The following is a 20215-nucleotide window of genomic DNA, read 5'->3' as shown; positions in this document are numbered from 1 at the left end:
TCTGGTGAATGAATAACTGGCTAGATTATAAAATCAGAATACAGCCTTTTTTTCCCCTCTTAAGTCAAATGCTTTTGGAAAGTGACCTGAGGCTATTTTTTTATTCCACTGACAGACTTTAGGCTTTACCTGTTTTTCACTTGACTGTGATGCGATGTGATAGCATCACGTGGCTTAGGCGTGTCACAGGTTGCCTGCTGTGTACGTGGAGTCAGACACTCAGACCTCAGAGCCGGGAGTCAAGGTTCATGAGACAAAGCTCACTTCAATGTCTGGTGTTCTGAATGTCAGAACAATTAGAGATTAAATGGAAGGAAATTTGAGGCCAAAAATAAAGGAAAATAAAACTTGTGGTCACAAGTATAGAAGACCAAGTTTTATTTCATGTACATCTCTTATTCCTTCATCTTGATCTCTCTCCCATGATTCTTCTGTGCTCATGCACATATACACTAGATCAATTCCCCAATGTTCTTCCTCTATTAAAATAGTCATACAAAGCCTGCTTATGTAGGAGGAGGCTGAAAAAGTTAGAATAATAAAATCACATTTTGTTGCAGGAGGACTATAGCTCAGGGACATTTATTAGTTGGAAACCAGAAATAACTAGAGGGAGAAGAGCATTACGGTAATGAGAGAAAAGTCTTACATGCCATACTCAGCCAAGAATGTATTTTCCCCCTTCTTAAATCCAAGGTGGTCCATAAAACCACCCTCACTGAAGCTGCAGAGAACACTTTGACTGGAACATTTGGTGCAGGGAGGGAATAGGCATTCAATGAACTGGTTAACAGAAAATATAACATTGGAGGAGCCTCTCATCTCTAACATTTCATGCATTTGCCTGGATTCATAAAATTGGAAATAGGAAAATAAGTAACTAAGTAATCATATAATAGCTAACTATATTTGTGAAGCCAAGCAGAAAGTCTGAACTTTAAACAACTGGAGACTGAAAAATCAAAAGCTCTGAAACTACATATGCACTGCAAATTTAAGAAGAAACCAGTTTGACAGCAAACCAATATGAAACAGAGTTTGATGTGGAAAGAGATGAGGCCCGAGGAGAAAAATAAAACCATGAGAAACTCTAAACTAAGGAAAGATGGTCCCTAGCAAGGAAAGGCTGGTAGTAAGAACCAGAACTGTGGCTTTTCCTCGTGATCTTGCCTGGCTCACTCATTCACGTATGGACGTCCTCTCACATCTCCAGAAGGCAATCCCTTTAGCCCTATGATACCCAGCCCTCTCCTTGGCCTCTCAAAGAACACCTGGTGGATCTGGCTGCAGAACTCCTGCCAAATGGTAGAAATCTGATAGGCTGTAACTTCAATTAAGTCGATCAGGTATTTATTTATTTTCATAACATTGCCTGAGCCAAATCCATTTTCGTTTACATATTTTTCTTCCAACTAGACTATGAGCTTGAGGGGGAAATCACTTTGTCTTATTCATCCAGATATCCTCCACTGCACGTAGTAGATGCTCAAAAAATGTTTATTGAATGAATAGACCAGGCTGCCACTCAAACCAAATGATTTCAAAGTAAATTGTTGAAAGTCACATATTCAGTATGTATTTACTGAGTAACCAGCTATCGTGCTAGCTAACTAGGTATAAAAAATAAGACAACTCATGCCCTCAGGAAGCTCACATTTCAAGGAGACAGGAACTATGATGGAGTGGCAGTAGGATGGAAGGAAGAGGACAGGCTCAAGAGACAGTAAGGGGATCAAATCCATAGGACTTGGTGCCTATTTCACACTTAGGTAGTAAGGAGATTAGGAGAAGAGCTTGGATTAAAGGAAGAGACATGAGAATGTCCAGCCTAAGGGAACGTGCCATTGGAGATAGTTGATGCAGTGAAAATCCTAAAAGGCCCCCTCAAAAAATGGCTAGTTTTCTATGTCTTAAAGCAGCTGAGTCTATTTTTAGCAACTCTGAGGACTTGAATATCTACTATGATATACCTACTGCCCACTGGTCATAGTTGGTTCTATGAAAGTCACACGGAAAAAGTGAAATTCCTTTTCTATGTGGCAGTTCTTCAAATGCATGCTCCCCTTTTCATATAATATGATTTCCAGACTTTTCACCATTTTGGTCATTCTCATGCTTTTAGACTGACTAATTAGAAAATGGAAGCTTTAAGAGACAGAAAGTAAAAAATCTGAAAATTATGATTGCAAGGTCTGGGAGGTAATGGAAGGGGAAAAATTAAACACCTAGATGTGAAGCACTGGGTTAGGTCTTTTTTGTACAGACTAAAATGCCACAGGGATCTGAGGACATTCTGTGATGTCTTGTTCTCCTCCTCTGATTCATTTCCCACTTACTTTCTTACAGCATTCTCATAAAAGAGAATCAGTCATCCTGAGGTCAGTCGTCTTGCCCTTAAAATATATTAATTCTGTTTTGCTTTTGTTATTCTATATTAAAATACTGATGGAATAATGTGAAAGAGGCATTAGGATGAAATAAGCATTTCATGATCTTTAGAAATAAATGATACTTAAGTGTGAGGCAACAGGCAGTAGTGAGTTGGCTCTATCTTTGCACATCATAAGTTGCCCAAACGACATTTCCTTTGTGGTAAATTGTAAAGAAACAAATGTGAAAATTTTACTATGTCATATGCTGCAGTTATGTGTACATATTAAAGAAAAAGGAAGGGAGAAGTACAAAATCAATTTTTCTGCTTACATAAATAATTACCCTAATAGTTTATGAAATAAGAAAAAATTGCTCGAGCAAGAATGAAATCATTTCTTTTAGACATTAGAATCTATTCAGAAATTATGTCTTTTCATTGGACTTTCATCTGGCTTCCAACATGTCAAATCATGTATCTTTTAAACCACATGTTCTTTTTTTGTAGGTTGGATAGTTTCAGACTAGGCTCAATTTACCCCTTTTCTCTATAGAATCATGCACCTTACAGTTCCACTTTTGCCACATCTTTCATACTTTATGTTTCACATTTTATGAATGGGAAACCATATTTTAGAATAAAAATCTGTAATGTCAAACCAACATCATTTTTTCTTCTTTTTTCTTTTCTTTTCTTTCTTTCTTTTTTTTTTTTTTTTTTGAGGCAGAGTCTCACTCTGTTGCCCAGGCTGGAGTGCTGGAGTGCAATGGCACGGTCTCGGCTCACTGAAAACTCCGCCTCCTAGGTTCAAGTGATTCTCCTGCCTCAGCCTCCTGAGTAGCTAGGATTATAGGCATGCACCATCATGCCCAGCTATTTTTTTTTTTAATAGAGACAGGGTTTCACATGTTGTCCAGGCTGGTCTTGAGATCCTGACCTCAAGTGATCTGCTGCCTCAGCCTCCCCAAGTGATGGGATTACAGGCATAAGTCACCATACCCAGCCATCTTTTCCTCCTTGGGGTTTTGCTCTATATGTATAGACCTTGAGAAAGAGCTTTCAAAATAGACTTTATCCATAATCAACATCTTAGGATCTTTTTTCCTCCATAAAGATCTTCAGCATCACTATGCACTACAGTTCATTTCTCTTTTAAAGCAAAACGTAGCATAAACTAGACAAAACCCCCAAATAAGCTCTCCATTTCCTGCAGCTTGTGTAGCTCTAGCAATCTAGTCTATTGCTGGGCAATATATTCAAGCCTCTCACTGATTATGTTATCAAAGCTGTTTAAATTCCATTCCACGAGTTTGTGTATGGCAAAGATGAAGCTGTTTGTTTAATTAAACAATTTCTCTAAAAATGCACACAGTATATTTTGAGAACATAGTGAGACTTTGACCTTGCCTCAACAAGGGCATTTTGCTGCCACCCCCATTCTGCCACACTTTTCAACATGTTATCCCTCTTGAGTTTAATTTCTATGTTGTAAAACATCTCATCAATTGATATCTAGCATTTTGCATCTAATGCATTCTCATAACTTCTAGTTGGCTGTGGCTTATTTCATTGTATGCTTTCTTCTTCATACTTCTGGACAAGCTTTGTTTTTATGGCCTTTAAAAAAACATGGCTGTTATCAAACACTATATACGGAAATGGTTTCCTTGACAACCATAACCACAAGCGAGTCGTCTGCACCTCTTTCTCATTGCATGGTTTGTTTGGTTGCTAAAACACTTCAAAATATTTTTATTCAGAGTCAGGTATTAAGTACCTGAATTTACAGAGTAAGCTGAAATCCAAGCAGGTGATGAACTATCAGAACGGTTGTAAAGTGGCAAACTCTAATCATTTTCAAGTATTAGAGTTCAGCCTCATGACACAGTCTCTAAAAGGACAAATGCTGAAAGCTTGATATTTAAGATCCAAAATGAATGACTACCTCAAGGACACAAATTAAAAAAAAAGACTGGCTAGAAATGCCAAAGAAGTGAAAAATATTGCTTAAATGGAAGGTGACATTGCAGTTTTATTCATTCATATAAAAATTCCAAATGTTAATTCTTTAATGGGAAAGAGGTCAGCTTCAAGGTTATCAACAGAACAGCAGATATTTTGTCAAAAGTGCTCCTAAGACTATGTCTCTTGACAAAATTAAGCACAATATATATGGAGCTTCCATTTAAAATAGTTTTTGAAAATTTTCTTTGGTTAAATGTCTCATAGCTCATAAGATTCAGAAAATCTCTATTTCTGGGAACTTCTCAGGGTAAAAATATTTTCCCAAATATCAATTTTTTACAAGGAAATATACAGCTTGCATGGATTACAAAAAAAATTAGAAAGATCAACATGAGATTCTGTACAATGTGATAAGCATCCCAAGAAAAAATCACTAACAATGTCATCTCACTCCATACTGGTCTAGTCTCCTAATATCTGTCAAAGACAGGATATAATAAAAAACATGGTTTACTGTCCCCCCCACCGCATCATGTCCAAAACCATGGTTAAGTTGGAGATGTCTTCAGATTGGTTGGAATCAGAGTAATTTGACTGAAATAAATCACATAAATAATCCTATTTGTGTTCATGCATGTTTATAAAAAACAATTGTGCAAAAATATGAACCTGAAAATTTAATCAAGAGAGGTAGTGGCAATTCTTATGAGAAATTGGAGCTCTGGGTCACCAGGTAGGTTGAGCAGCAGGTGAAAAAAAATTATACAGAGCGTTTTTACTTATAGAATTTTACTTAACAGCTCTGAAAGAGCCTGTGAGGTTAGGTATGAATTATGGCAGGGGAAAGGCAGGCATAAGAAGGAAGGAAGGAAAGAAGAGAGGGGAGGAGGGAGGGTGGGCCAAAAGAAAGAAAACAAAGAGAGAGATAAAGGGAAAACATAGGCCAAGCTGCTCAGAGCATGGGGGGTGGAGGAGGGGGGTGAGGGAGGTGGGACAGTCATAGAGCAACCAAAGTAGAACCAAGGAGTGAGTTAAACGGAGGTTCCAGGTACCATTCTGAGGTGATTTTGAGAACAGTGTTAAAATGAAGCCAAAGAGATGTATCTGAGGCCCGGTCAAAAAAGAACCTCAGCTCCCCATGGACCAAGAGAACTCAAAAAGAGTTTAACTTTTGTCGCATACTTCAATTCTTACCATAATGTTCTACAGGTATAGAATGCTGGGGCCCTTCCATTACTCCATGCACTGGGGAAGAACTAGAATTGTGAGAAGAGCTTTCACGCTCCCATAACCATTCCTTGGCCCACCTCCAAGAAAAGGCAGGCTGGCCTCTGTTTAGGTGTTGTCTGTGCTTGCATTCCCAACGTTGACATGAGGAATTATCAATGGGTTCCGGACATAATCAGCCACACGGCAGAGTGAATTCCAGGAGGTATGTGTCAGGCAGGATCCCATCAAACTCATTGCTTTCAATACTTCAAAAGCTTGTTTTAGAAACACCATTACGGAGAATTGCCTGAAGGATTGAAAATCCAGACATTCCACTGCATACTCTAAAATCTGTCTTTGGGTGGTTCCAGGCCAGCAGAGATTTTCATACCTAGACTGTCTCATTTAGTTCTTGCCATCTTTTGATGACTTTTAAAAATGTGTATATTCATACCTTACTTTGTTCTGTAAAGAATTTAAGATAGGAATTTTTATTGAATTGAGCTGTGAATTTATGCCATCAGCCTTTATCTGAGGAACATTATAGGAAGCACTTCTATGAAATGCCTGTCAAGATACTATTGAGAATGTGGCTCATTACATTTCGAAGTATCCTCCTTAGGAAAACCCACTGGAAAAACTTCCCTCTTGCCTTCATACAAAGAAGCATTGAGCTTGTCTTCTGGCACTGGCTTGTTGTATCTTATGGACACTGATTCACTTATTGGACCATGTTTTTCTCTAGGCACAAAGCCAACTGGGGGCCCTTGCCCATCCACCATACAGAACCTCTCAGCATGCATTTTGTGGATTCACTTCTAGATTTACCATTCTTTCCCTACCCCTATTTTCTCTGTATTCATAAATCTCCACTTTATACATTTTTAAATTTGTTAACGTATATAGTACACTAAGTAAATATACCACGGTGCAGAGTAGCACCTCTCCTGCCAGAGGATGGAGAGAGGCAATATACCCCGTAGGGGCTGGACACATATTCTACCCATTTAGATCCAGAAGGAAACTTGAGCCTCTCTTCTCATAGAGAAAGAGTAGGGTAAAATCACAGACCACCACTATCCATCAGACCACTCTCATCCATGGGAGGGTAACTTTTAGGGAAAGCATTTTGGAGTGTCATGTAATACCACCCAATTTTCCTATATACTCATAAGATTAAATACTCAGTACTTTTCAAAAATGAAAATAAGAAACAAAAGTTCATTGTTAAACCCCAATGTTTACTTTATCCCTTGCATACGATGAAAATAATCTACTTCCCTGAAGGAAAGTGCTGACTTTCTCTATTGGCTCTGTAAGTCCTGGAGCAGGTGGTCCCTGCAGCAGAGGGAACGGAATGAGAAGACCCTTACAGTAGCCAACTGACTATTCTAGAACTCCTGGGAGAACCATACCTCATTATTCACCTAGAATGGGCCCAGCTTGTTCTAATTTCATTTGGCTCCTTGCAGAAACACTCTTCATTGTCTAAAACTTTGGGTGGCTGTGAACTTCAGCTTTGCCCCTTAACTCTCCTCTGACCCTTTTCTTGACCCACTATTTTGCTCACTATATTTTTGCAATATACACTTGGCTTGGGCCACCAAAAAAACTCACCCCTGCCTGGTCCATGGCTACTCCCTTGAGCTCAGCTGAACAGCTCACCCTGGCTTTAAAACTGGAAGTCCCACATCCCTGGAAACTTCTCAGTCCTAGGCAAAGGAGGGATGGTTGGTCACCCTACTCCCAGCCCACACTGATCATGCAGTAAATCAATGGCAGAACCAGAACCTTATTTATTTTATTCCTTTATATATTATTATAAAGCTCATATAATAATAACATATGAAGGACTATAACAATTATATGTTATATAACATATATTATTAATTATATATAACATATTATTAATTATATATTTTGATATGCATATAATAAAATATACAGGAATATAATAGATAAGTATATTATATATAAAGGAATAAAAATATGTTTACAGAAATATACATAAACAAAATTTACATATGCATATATATTTTACAGTACATAACTTCTTAAAAGACAACACTGTAAGCAAATTTCACAGAATTAAGTTATTTAACTGTGTAAGAACAACATGGCAATATCCATAGCAAAATTTTAATCTCATTCTTTTCCCCCATGATCCTTCATGCTTCAGAAATGCCTCTGCTGCCTTTTACCACTGTGTGTTCAAGTAATAGGAATAAATGTCTAAAATTAGTCCAAAGAAAATGAATTAAGGAAACATATCTGTTATCTAAAAAATAAACTATGAATTCTAACACCCCCCAAATGATTTTAGGATTATCCAATTTTATAAAATCTCTCTCTCTCCTCCTTCCTTTAGTGTAAATAACAAGAGCTGCCTATAAATCTACCTCAGAAGACAAAGGGAAAAGCAAAACTCTGCCCAGGAAGACCTTACTTTACAAACCAGGTGACCAAATTTCTAAAACATCATTCCCGTAATCCCTGATCAACAGAAAGGAAGCTCTGGAAGCATGAATGGTCAGTACACACATCGTCCACAGGACTCACACACCACAAACTAGTCATTGATCCTTTTGACCCAATTTCAGAAAATATGTTTACATAGAGACACATATTTTTGCTATTTACTTTTTGAGCAACCAACAGGAAAACCTATCCACATATGTCCATTATGATCCTCTCTAATGAAGACTATCTCTTTATGTTGTTTAAACAAAAAGAAATTAATGCATGAGAATGTCAAAGTTCTGAGCTTTAAGTTTCTGTACTCAATATATTGAATAAAAGATATATGTAGTATACATTGGAATAGAAAGAGATTAACTCAGTGCGTCATCGAGCACCTAGTTCTGGGGGTGGTATAATCATTCTGTCATGTATGATGGATGCCTGGATAGATCTCAGGATTTTGAAAGTCTCAAGTTAAGCTTCTAGTTTATTCCTCTAAATCTCTAGGGCTTTAAATAAAAACAATCTCGTAAATATCTTCACTACAAGATTCAAGTGTGAAACGCTTCAGTAGGCCTCTGAATTAAATATGTTTGGTAATTGATTATGTGTCCACATTATCTGAATGTAGGAGATGGATGTTGACACTGCTTTAAAATAACAATAGGAAAATAGGTTTCCAGTGAGAAAGCCCCTGTGATGGGAATGTCAATTTATTGCAGACATTTGTGATAAAAAAGTCAGTCATTTTTCTTAAATGAAAACTAGAGTTAAACACAGTAAATCTGTTGGCAATGGAAATTAATAGGATACCAATTTAAAAGGAACTACACATTTTTTTAAAAGGAAGAAATCTTAGTTTTCAGAGCAGTTTTAGGTTGACAGCAAAATTGAGCAGAAGGTACAGAGATTCCCAGAAGGTACAGAGGTACCCCCTTCCCCACATATGCACAGCCTCCCCATTGTCAATATCCCCCACCAGAGTGGTACAGTTGTGACAATTATGAACCTACATTGACACATCATTATCACCGAAAGACTATAGTTTATATTAGGGTTCACTCTTAGAGGTACACATTCTGTGAATTTTTGCTAATGTATAATGACATGTATGCACCATTACAGTATCATACAGAGTAGTTTCACCATCCTAAAAATCCTCTGTGCTCCACCTATTCATCTCTTCTTCCTCCCCCTGGCAACCACTGATCATTTTACTGTCTCCAGAGTTTTGCCATTTCTGGAATGTCATATAGTTGGAAACCTACAGTGTGTAGACTTCGCAAGTGGAGTTCTTTTTGGTGATATGCACTGACGTTTTCTCCAGGTCTTTTTGTGGCTTGATAGCCCATTTCTTTGGAACCACACACGTTTTTAAAAAATTGACATTCTTCTGTGACTTACAACTGTGGTTTCTGTGGTTAGATGTAGAGATTGAGTTTTACATTGTTGGCAAATACATTTTGGAGTAGATAAGCCCTGGGTTTAGAGACAGCAGTCATGAGTTCAAGTTCCAGCTCTGCAATTTACTAGGATGGGAACTAGGAGAAGTCACTTAACCACTGAGGTTAGTGAAGGCTGAACATAAAGAGGCTCAATTGTCCACGAGGTAACCCAGCTTGAGCTTTTGTCCAGTAGGGGTACCCCAGAGGGGGTGTGTGACACACTGAGCCAGTCAAACCCTCTGTCTTACAAAGTTGAACCAGCAGATAAATACATAAGCCACTAAGTTTGAGGGGATTCAGAAGGTAGATCACAGAGGTGCTCTTGAGTCCCAAAATAAATTCAGTTCTATCCATATAGTGAAACAAAAAGTAGTCAATAAAGTTCATTATTTGAGATAGGGAAGATTTTAACAATAGGGGGTCACTCTCATAAGTAATTACATGTGGGAGGGGTAAGATATAAGGTAAGATATAAAGATGTACACACAGAATTAGGCTACATCTCTAACTCATGATTTAATCTGATCCCACAGGATAATAAATAAAGGTAGCTAAGGAGATACTCCAACATGATTACCCATATTTATCTCTAAGTAGGGATTATGATTGGACCATCCTGGGTTTCAGCAGAAAACTGATAAAACTCGTATACTGGGTAATTTGAGGAGAGTGTCTTAAGGGTCTATATGTGAGGTATGAGTGAAGAATGGTACGGGTTCCTAGGGTCAGCCCCATTAGCAGCCTAGGCCAGAAGGGGTTGGAGGAAAGAGTGGTTTCCTGAACCTTTAGAGAGAGGGCTGCTGGACAGAGCTGTGCCCTTCAGTCAAGGCACACAGACAGCCAGCTGCAACCCCACAGGAAGGAAGTCAGGCCCAACTTCACTCACACAGGCAAAACTCCAGCAGAAGTCCGAAGGCAAGGGGGCCTTTGGATGGAGCTCAGCTTCCCCAGGCACTCAGCAAGGTGGAGAAGGATGGGTGCAGAGAGCAATCGGGGTGATCTAACCTTCCTCTTTATTCTTGTCTGAATGTTCCACACTTTCTCCAAGGAACATGTAGATCAAACATGTATTTCATAGCTTTAAGTTATTTTCTCCTTCAGTATTCCATTTTTGTCATTCATTGCAGAGGGTTGGATGAAAAATAAAATAGAGGCGTGGGTCAAAAAAAAGACTGAAAATAAGTAGAAGGGGATGAGAAATTCTGGAAAAAGTAACAGAAGTGATTCTGGGCACAAAAAAAGTCACATTTGGTGGCTAAAGTAAATGGGCCGCCAAGTCTCACTGTCCCAGCTCCACAGTGTTCTGCACATTAAAGACTAACCATAATAGAAATAATAGTCACTTCTAAGGGGATTTTCTCAAATGGACTTTCCTGAATCTGCTTTGACATACAAATTAGCCTTAAATGAAAACACCATTTCAGAGTTGCCAAGGCCTTTTTCAGCATTCTAAAGCCATTTTGTCTTTTCATGTCTCTGATCTAAATGTATCTGCTTTCAAACCCAAAATGGTATTTTCTGTACAAGTGTACCAAATTGAATAGAACCCGCATCTGACAGATCTCACAGATATGACTAGTTTCAGTACAAGCAGATGTCAAACCAAGCAAACCATTGTCACTGGCTAAGTGCATGAGGTGAACTGAGGATAAATTCTGTGGTCGCCACTTCCTCAGAGCTCAAAGGCTAACACCCATTTCATCAGAAGGACCCACTGGGCTTCAAGGACTCCTATGCTGATCCAGTAGAGGGCAGTGATGGTTCCAGGAGCCTGGCTGGCCCTATGCAAGGACTCCCCAATGAAGGCAGGACTGTAAGACTTTATACAAGCCAGACAGGCAGAGTCACCTGAGTTTATTCCTCTCATCACACTGTGGTCTGTGGCTATTCCCTTAGTAACCCTGCAGCTGCTGCCAGCAGTCATGGGAAAAGGCATTATGACCTTCAACTCCATCTGCAACCTTGAAAACAAAACCCACAGCACCTCTAGCCTCCGCAATATCAGATACATAGCAGGATTGTCTGGTTATATATTTCAGGCCCAAACCAGCCTCTGAGTGAGGTAGGCAGGGGGCTACTCCTTTAAAGGAGCAACAAAGGAGCCCATAGTTACCAAAAAGGACATTTAAACCTAATCAAGAAGGGATCTGAAGCAGAAGACAATCAATGCTGATCCTTGAAAGGTCTGGGGCTCTTTAATTAAAGAGCCGCCCCCCCCCCCAAACTTGACATTATAGTTAATGCAGGAGAGATGAGCTTAGTTACGAACAAGCAAAAGTGTGTTTCACTTGCAAATATCAAACAAGCTGTGGAAATTATTTGCATGGATTATCAGTTGGTAGACACCTCAGAAGATTTCAAGTCTCTGAGAATTTCTAAAATAATGTATTTAAGTGATTTAAGTTACAGGTTGGGGAAGCACATTATGCAACAGTTTTCCCAGTGCAACTTAACTTTTCTACTAAGGAAAATAACTTAACTTGCATTGCACCATTTATATGCAATCAGGAGTTAGTCTTTCTTTCAATGGCATATAAAAATAGAAAGCATTATAAATGTTAGAGCTAGAAGAGACTTTAGTATCACTGTTTTAAATTTGTTAAGCAGTGGAACCCTTTTCAAGATAAACCTTATAGGCAACCTCAATATATCCAGAACAGATAAAAATATTCTATTAATATAAGTTTATTTTATAAGTTCACATTTCTGTTAAATATTATAAAGTCAGTCACTGAGAACAAGGAAGTGTTTTTAGATGAATGAGATCTGAGTTTATGGATGACTTATAAACATACATCAGTTTTAGAATATAATTTATTTTGGTGTTGTCTTTGCAATGACTTTTGTCAAGGATGACAGTGATTGCCACAGATAAATCACTGTAAATGGTAACAGATGTTTTTGTAATAGCCTTTCTTTCAACCTTAGGATATTCTTTAACTAAATAAAACAAGAAGCTTAATTCCAAAATCTGCACCAAAACAAGTTATTAACATTGGCAACATAGTAGTAAGCTGTAGTGCCCCAAAAGTTAAAAGATATTTTTAAAAATTGTAGTAGAGACAGATAGCTGTGTCCTTAACAAAAATCAGCTCCTTTTCTCTCTGGGTTCACAGCTCAACCATATTTACCAGCCTTCCTGTGGTCATTTGTCTGAGCTCCAGCTAGTGAAGTATGAGTAGAACGGACATGCACCACTTCCAGACCTGGCACCGGCAAACCCCCCATGGCAACCCTCCAACCCTTTCCTCAACAACTGGACCACGCTGGAAAGGACTGAGGATCTAGAGGAGGACAGGGCTGTAATATGGAAGGAGTTTGGTTTCTGAAGGACCATGTAGCAGGCCACCTGCAGGGCGGGAACATCTTTAATAGGTTTGGAATAGCAAGAAATAAACTGGTCTTGTATTAAACAACTAATTTTGGGGTCTTTGTTACAACAGCTAGCATTATTTACCCCTGCTAATTAATATCGTAGATATCATGGTTAAGATAAATATGAAAACAACATTTGAATCAAATGTTTGCTGAACCCCTAAAGCACCTATCCAGAAACCACAGTTTGTAAAAACAGAGTTTTGTTTGTTTTTGTTTGTTTGAGACAGAGTCTCACTCCGTCGCCCAGGCTGGGATGCAGTGGCGCAATCTCAGCTCACTGCAACCTCCACCTCCTGAGTTCAAGCAATTCTCCTGTCTCAGCCTCCCAAGTAGCTGGGATTACAGGTGTGCACCACCATGCCTGGCTACTTTTTTGTATTTTTAGTAGAGATGGGGTTTCGCCATGTTGGCCAGGCTGGTCTAGAACTCCTAAACTCAGGTGATCTGCCCACCTTGGCCTCCCATAGTGCTGGGATTACAGGCATGAGCCACTGCGCCCGGCGGAAAAACCAGAGTTTTGATCCAAACTTCTATATAGATGCATGACTTCCTTGCTGGAGGGTAAAGTGAACTCTTACTCAAAGCCACCAAAAAGTTAGTAGGGCTTTCAGCAAGTAGTAAGAATAATATGATCAAGATAACTTCTGTTTTGTTTTGTTTTTTGAGACGGAGTCTCGCTCTGTCGCCCAGGCTGGAGTGCAGTGGTGTGATCTCAGCTCACTGCAACCTCCGTCTCCTGGGTTCAAGCAATTCTCCTACCTCAGCCTCCCGAGTAGCTGGGATTACAGGCATCCACCACCACACCCAGCTAATTTTTGCATTTTTAGTAGAGACAGGGTTTCACCACATTGGGCAAGCTAGTCTCAAACTCCTGACCTCAGGCGATCCGCCCGCCTCAGCCTCCCAAAGTGCTGGGATTACAGGTGTGAGGCACTGCTCCCAGCCGATAACTTCTATTTTTATGCAGTAGTGTGAGAGAATTAAGGTGCTGGTCCCTCCCAGCTAAAGCCATTATTTCCCTGGCACACTCATTCTCCATGAGCCTTAGGGGACTCAGATGCTGCACCTGTGGTACCTGAAGGTATGAGACAGAGCATGGCCTTTCTTTTCTTCCAATAAATCCCTACAACAGGAGGCACCTTCTCTGCCATTTTATTCCTAGTGAATTTACCAATTTAAGAGGGGAAGCTGTGGACTAGCAGGAAGACCAGCAAACTCAGAGTTAGAAGTTCCAAATTCAAGCCCCACACCAACTGCTTACTAGTTAAATAAACTTAGGCAAATCTCTAAACTTCATCTGCAAAATTAAGAAGTGAGATCATTGAAAATAGTAAAGAAACTCAAACATATGAAAGTTCTTTAAAAAATGAAAGAGTATATGAAATACAACATATTGCAATTACTGGTGACCCTGAAGAATTTGGCAGATCTATAGTCATTTCACCAAAGAGGCATTGTGATAACATGTTACAATCATGAGATTTAGTATGAGAAGACATAGGTTGGCCTCTTTTTCTGCTTTGAAGTTGTTGAATTCTATTTGGTTGTAAGCGACAGAAAAATATGATGGTGGTTTAGTTCTCTCATGTATAAAGTCCTGGGAGACTTCTTAGGGTGGGTATAGCATTCCATAGTGGGGTTCCATTTAGGGCTGCCAGATAAAACACAGAATACTCAGTAAGATCTGAATTCCACATAAACATTGAGTAACATTTCAACATCAGTATGTCCCATGAAGTATTTATTGGTCATCTTGTGTTTTTATTTGCTAAATCTGGCAACTATAGACCAGCCAGGCTTCTTCTTTTAATTTATTCATTCACTTTCCAAGATGGTAGCATTTATATTCCAAGAGGAAAAAATGAAGAGAAAAACAAAGTATACATAAGCACTAGCTTTTAATCACGGCTCCCCCAGAGCTACCACACTACAATTCTATATGCATCTCAAGGTGCAGAGCTTAGTCACATGGCCATGCCTAGTTGCAATGGAGCATGGAAAATGGAGTCATTATTTCAGGTAGTGGCATGCTCACCTAAAAGTTCCATGACTGTGGAAGTAGGAAGGACTCAATGTTGCAGAACAACTGTTAGATTCTAATACAGGCTGTCTTAGTCCATTCTTGCTATTATGACAAAACACCACAGACTGGGAGCACTCATGACTTAATCGCTTCCCCACGGGCCCTACCTCTTAATACTATCACATTGGATATTAGGTCCTAACACATGAATTTTGGAAGAACATATCTATTCAAACTATAGCATATACCTCTTATCAAAAGTTTCATTTTGTAAAAATCAGTGTACTACTTCTCCAAAACACAGTTCACTTATCAAAGCACTTGACTTTTTGAAGATTAAAAATGGAATAATGTATATAGACTTTTGCTTTATTACTAGGTAAACATTTAACTATGCTTTTATTCCTTCACAGACAGAGTGTACAGGCAATATCAATAAAGTCAGGAAACTGCCACTGTGAGGCTTAGCACAGTAGAGTTAGAGATGGGATGGGTAGGTTAGAGAGGGCTCCTTTATGGAGTAGATAGGACTTGGCCTTGATGATGGGTAGAATTTAGAAAACTGCAGAGTAGTGGGGAGGACATTTGTGGGAGGAGAATGGCTTCAGTAAAGGCACAGAGTTAGAAATAGTCACCACCTGTTCAAGGGGTGAGAAGCTAATTTGACTATAATAAAAGAGCTATTACAGAGATTTCAATATTCCCATATTCCCACTCAGAGCTCTGCCTCTTAACTTAGTAATTACATTTCTTATTTTTTCAAATGGCTGATAAGTTGATTTTTAGTGAGCTAAAAGAACAATTTCTTTTAGTTCTGCAATTTTAGCTGAAATATTTCAGCAAATATTTACTGATCATCTCTGATGAGCTGAGCACTGGGGCTATATAAATCAGTGAGATGTTTGTGCAGAAAGACATGTGAACAATGAAAAGATGATATGGAAGTGCTATAATGGGAATATGTGTAAGTTGCCACCAGAGCTTTGAGGGAGTAAGCATCTAACCTGGGCAAGGCTTCGCAGAGTAAGTGAACTTTCCTTGCATAGTCAAGAAAAAAAATATAGAAAAATGGGTCAGGAAAAAATGAAGAGGTGAGCCAGCCCTCCTGGTAGAAACAATCAAAATGTAAAGGCATAAAATCATCGTAGAACAATGGAAGTTATGGGTGGAATGACAGATCAATGTCAAGGAATGTCAGGAATATAAAGGGAAAAGGTTGACTTTGAAGTATTGTGTGAATACTTCAAGTAATAAACTAAGCCCTGGACATCAAAGCATAAATTTAGAAGACTTAGGCTCAATTTCAGTCTCTGCTAATTACAAAGCTACATGATCTTGAGGACATATCATTTAATCTTCTTTTTTTTCCAAGACAGAGTTTCACTCTATCGCCCGGGCTGAAGTGCAGTGGCGCAATCTCGGCTCACTGCAACCTCTGCCTGCCAGGTTCAAGCCATTCTCCTGCCTCAGCCTCCTGAGTGGCTGGGATTACAGGTGTCCGCCACCATGACAGGCTAATTTTTTGTATTTTTAGTAGAGACAGGTTTCACCATGTTGGTCAGGCTGGTCTTGAACTCTTGGTTTCAAGTGATCCCCCTGCCTCGGCCTCCCAAAGTGCTGGGATTACAGGCGTAAGCCACCATTCCCAGCTCCTCATTTGATCTTTTCTGAACTTTAATTTCCCTATTAGTGAAATGGGAGAGATACCCATGCTAGTTTTGGCTATTATTACTATAACTGTGTGCAACAAAAAACCTTTGGAATTTTTAGGCAGGGGGTGTACATTAGAAAAACATATCTAGAGGCAATGCAGAGCATAAATTGGAAATGCAAACAACTGTAGGAAAGAATAACTCTTATCCTAATGAGAATTTGAACTAAGAACTAACAGGAGTAGGCACAGAAAAGAGAGCTGTCTGAAAGTAGAATCAACAGATTTGCCAGACAAGTACTTGAGAGCAGTGAGGAACACAGTCAAGGATTAACTGAGACTTCCAAGCTTATGAGCATAGAGATATTATAGATGAGGCAGTTACAGAAGAGCAGGCCCTGTGAATGTGACCTTATTTGAAAACAAAAAAAAAGGCTTTGCAGATGTTGTTACATTAAGGATTTTGCCAAGCATGGTGGCTCACACCTGTAATCCCAGCACTTCGAGAGGCCAAGGCAGGCAGATTGCTTGAGTCCAGGAGTTTGAGACTAGCTTGGGCAACATAGTGAAACCCCACAGATGTGGTGGTACACACCTATAGTCTCAGCTACTTGGGAGGCTGAGGTTGGAGAATCACTTCAGCCACTGCAGTAAGCTGAGATCTCACCACTGTACTGTATCCTGGACAACAGAGTGAGACCCTGTCTCAAAAAAAAAAAAATTAAGAAATTTAAGATGAGATCATTCTGGTGGATCCACGTGGGCTCTAAATCTAATGCGAATGTCCTTTTAAACGAAAGGCAGAAGATTTGACCCAGAGAGAAGTGGGGAAGGAAGAGAAGGCCACAGGAAGACAGAGACAGAGATTGTGCCTGTGCTGCTACAAGCCAAGGAACATCTGGAACCACCTCTGGATAAGGCTAGGAAGAATCTTCCTCTAGAGCCTTTGAAGAGAGTGCAGCCCTGCCAACACCTTGGCTTAGAACTTCTGGCCTCCAGAACTGTGAGAGAATGAATTTCTCTTGTTTTAGGCCACTCAGTTTGTGTTAATGTATTATGGCAACCACAGAACACAAATATACTGATCCATACATATGAACTTTTTCACACATTACAATTGTCAAGGTCCTGTTATTATCTCATCTTATAGATGAAGGCAACGAGACACCAAAAATTTGAGAAACTTTCCCCAAGATCACACAGCTAGCTGTTGACAGAGCTGAGATTTGTGCTTCAGCCATCCTGCCCCAGAGCCTGTGCACCTCGGGGTGTGGGGGTGGAAGCACTGAGAGATGTCCACACTGAGGCTGCTAAAACTATAGAAAAGTAGACCTAAGTTTCAGACTTACTGGTGTCTCTCATAGTGAAGAGGCTTTATTTATTTATTTATTTGAGATGGGGGTCTCACTAGGTTGCCCAGGCTGGTCACAAACTCCTAGCCTTAAGTGATCCTGCCACCTTGGCCTCCCAAAGTGTTAGGATTATAGGTGTGAGCCACCACATCTAGCCTAATGAGGAGGGTTTAGATGAGCTAAAACCTGTAAATTATTTACATAGTTGGACAGTGTACAGGAAATGCTCAATAAAACTTAATTACTATTACATGTAATTCAAATACAATATTGATATTGTACTTGAAACTGCAAGAGGGACATTGTTCTTGCCTGATAAGAAGACTTGATTTATTGAAGAGTAGAGAGAGAAAGTTACATCAAAATCAAATCTTAAAATCATAGGAACTATGAAAAATAAAGGAAAAAATGAGTTTAACATTAGTATCCACAGACATAGTTTGAACTCTCTAAAACAGAATACAAAGGTAGTAAGAAGAGAACTAAAGAAAAGTCCCTAACATAAGCAAAAAGAAGGGGTGGTAGGCCGGGCGCAGTGGCTCATGCCTGTAATCCCAGCACTCTGGGAGGCTGAGGCAGGTGGATCACGAGGTCAAGAGATCGAGACCATCCTGGCCAACATGGTGAAACCCCGTCTCTATTAAAAACACACAAAAAATTAGCTAGGCGTGGTGGCGCACACTTGTAGTCCCAGCTACTGGGGAGGCTGAAGTGGGAGAATCGCTTGAACCCAGGAGGCAGAGGCTGCAGTGAGCCGAGATCATGCCACTCCAGCATGGTGGCAGAGTGAGATTCCATCTCAAAAAAACAAAAAACAAAAAACAAAAAAAACAACAAAAAAAAGGAGTGGAGAGAAGATAGATCAAACAACGTGGAAACAAAACAATTATGTAAATTATGTAATTATGTAAGTAGGTAAATAGTGTCTTATCTGCTAAAGCAAAGGTCTTGGCATTTGCACTCTGAACATTAAATAATTGCACTCAAAAGCTATGAAAAAATAAAATGACAACAATTAACTTGGTACTTAATTAGCTTAGTACGACAATTTGCTCAGTTCAATCTGATTGGAAGTCCACAAGATATAGGCAATGGTAAGACCTGAGACAACTTTCTTTTAAATTCTTAGGCCCAGGATGGGTTACACTAGAACACCCTTGATAATAGCCCTTGTCCTAACTCTAAAGTCAAAAGATGCAACTACCTTGTGGGTCATTTCTGTTTACATACTCTTGATCTGTCTTATTCATTACTTAACAAACATTAAGTGCCTATATAGCGCTGTCTAAGCCCTGGGAATACACAAATAACAAATAGCCCCTGCCCTCAAGGAGCTGTGCGAGTAAGAGGCAGGCATTGAAAGATGATATGACAATGTAACAGCACAGTATAGAGTTATGCTCTGGATATTAATGGAAGAAGAAAGAAGAAAATCTGGACACATCTAACAAAGGAGATTCAGAGCAGGTTCCGTCCATTTGGGCTGCTATCACAAAATGCCATAAACTGGATACCTTATAAACAACAGAAATTTATTTCTCATACTCTGTGGGCTAGGAAGTCCAAGAACAAGGCATCAGCAGATTCAGCAATTGGTAAAGGCTTTCTGGTTCATAGATGGTACCTTCTGGCTGTCCTCACAAGGTAGAGGGCAAGTGGTCTCTCTTGGACCTCATTTGTAAGGGCGCTAATCTCATTCATGAGGGCTCCACCCTCCCTCACCTCCCAAAGTCCCAATCTCCTAATACAATAATCTTAGAGGTGTGTGAATTTGGGGGATATGCAAACATCCAGATCACAGCAGGCTCCCTGGAGGGCATGCCCTGGGTTAGCATAAGCAAAGGCACGAAGGTGAAAGACCATAGGACTGTTGCAGAAACTTCACATCTCAGTCCTGTTGGAGTATCAAGAAATCCAACCGAACAGGTAAGTTGAGGTCAGATTACAGACCTTTCATGTCTTAATGCTTTTAGGTTTTACCAACTTCCTCCTAGCCCCTTGACTTGCTTCCTTCACTCCTAGGCTGGTAGATTTCAGCCAAGAAGCATTTATTTTGTTCTTTCTAATGAAGAAGTTTTGTCCTTTAGATCAACCACTGGGAGCCAAGGGCTCTTGCTTCTCCTGCCATGAGCATGCCCCACCCACCTCTGAGGGCACATGCTGGCCCTGATGCAATGAGAACCAGAGCAAGGGGAAACAGCTGGAGGCAGAGGGTCACGAGGAAGCAATTCAGCAGACACACCGGTGACTCCTTCCATACCAGGGATCATCCACAGCCCCTCAGAGCATGGTAGAAAAGGTTCCACTCTAATCTGTGTTTCTGAGATAACTTTAGCTGAGAAAAAAAATCAGAACAATCCT

At 39.7% G+C, this 20215-nt stretch overlaps 2 long non-coding RNA genes across 2 annotated transcripts in view, besides 1 other annotated feature; one reads left to right on the top strand and one right to left on the bottom strand.

The window, feature by feature from the left end:
• LINC01350 (long intergenic non-protein coding RNA 1350) overlaps positions 1–12863 on the top strand; it is a 70110-nt gene extending 57247 nt beyond the window's left edge. Inside the window, exons 3-4 of the long non-coding RNA NR_110793.1 lie at positions 7914–8074; positions 12567–12863. This is a non-coding gene — a long non-coding RNA (long intergenic non-protein coding RNA 1350). The remainder of the gene's footprint in view (positions 1–7913; positions 8075–12566) is intronic.
• The window catches only part of LOC107985239 (uncharacterized), a 202893-nt gene that overhangs the window by 109664 nt on the left and 73014 nt on the right, over positions 1–20215 (bottom strand). The window lies entirely within an intron of this gene.
• Positions 5419–5619: a silencer, noted in NCBI's record as "peak505 fragment used in MPRA reporter construct". NCBI's record gives its function as "represses an SCP1 promoter by STARR-seq MPRAs in K562 erythroleukemia cells {active_cell/tissue: K562}" and the evidence as "EXISTENCE:reporter gene assay evidence [ECO:0000049][PMID:32103011]".

The sequence above is a fragment of the Homo sapiens genome, chromosome 1 (assembly GCF_000001405.40).
Source record: "Homo sapiens chromosome 1, GRCh38.p14 Primary Assembly".
Classification (NCBI taxonomy): domain Eukaryota; kingdom Metazoa; phylum Chordata; class Mammalia; order Primates; family Hominidae; genus Homo; species Homo sapiens.
This window is presented reverse-complemented; position numbering and strand designations above follow the sequence as displayed.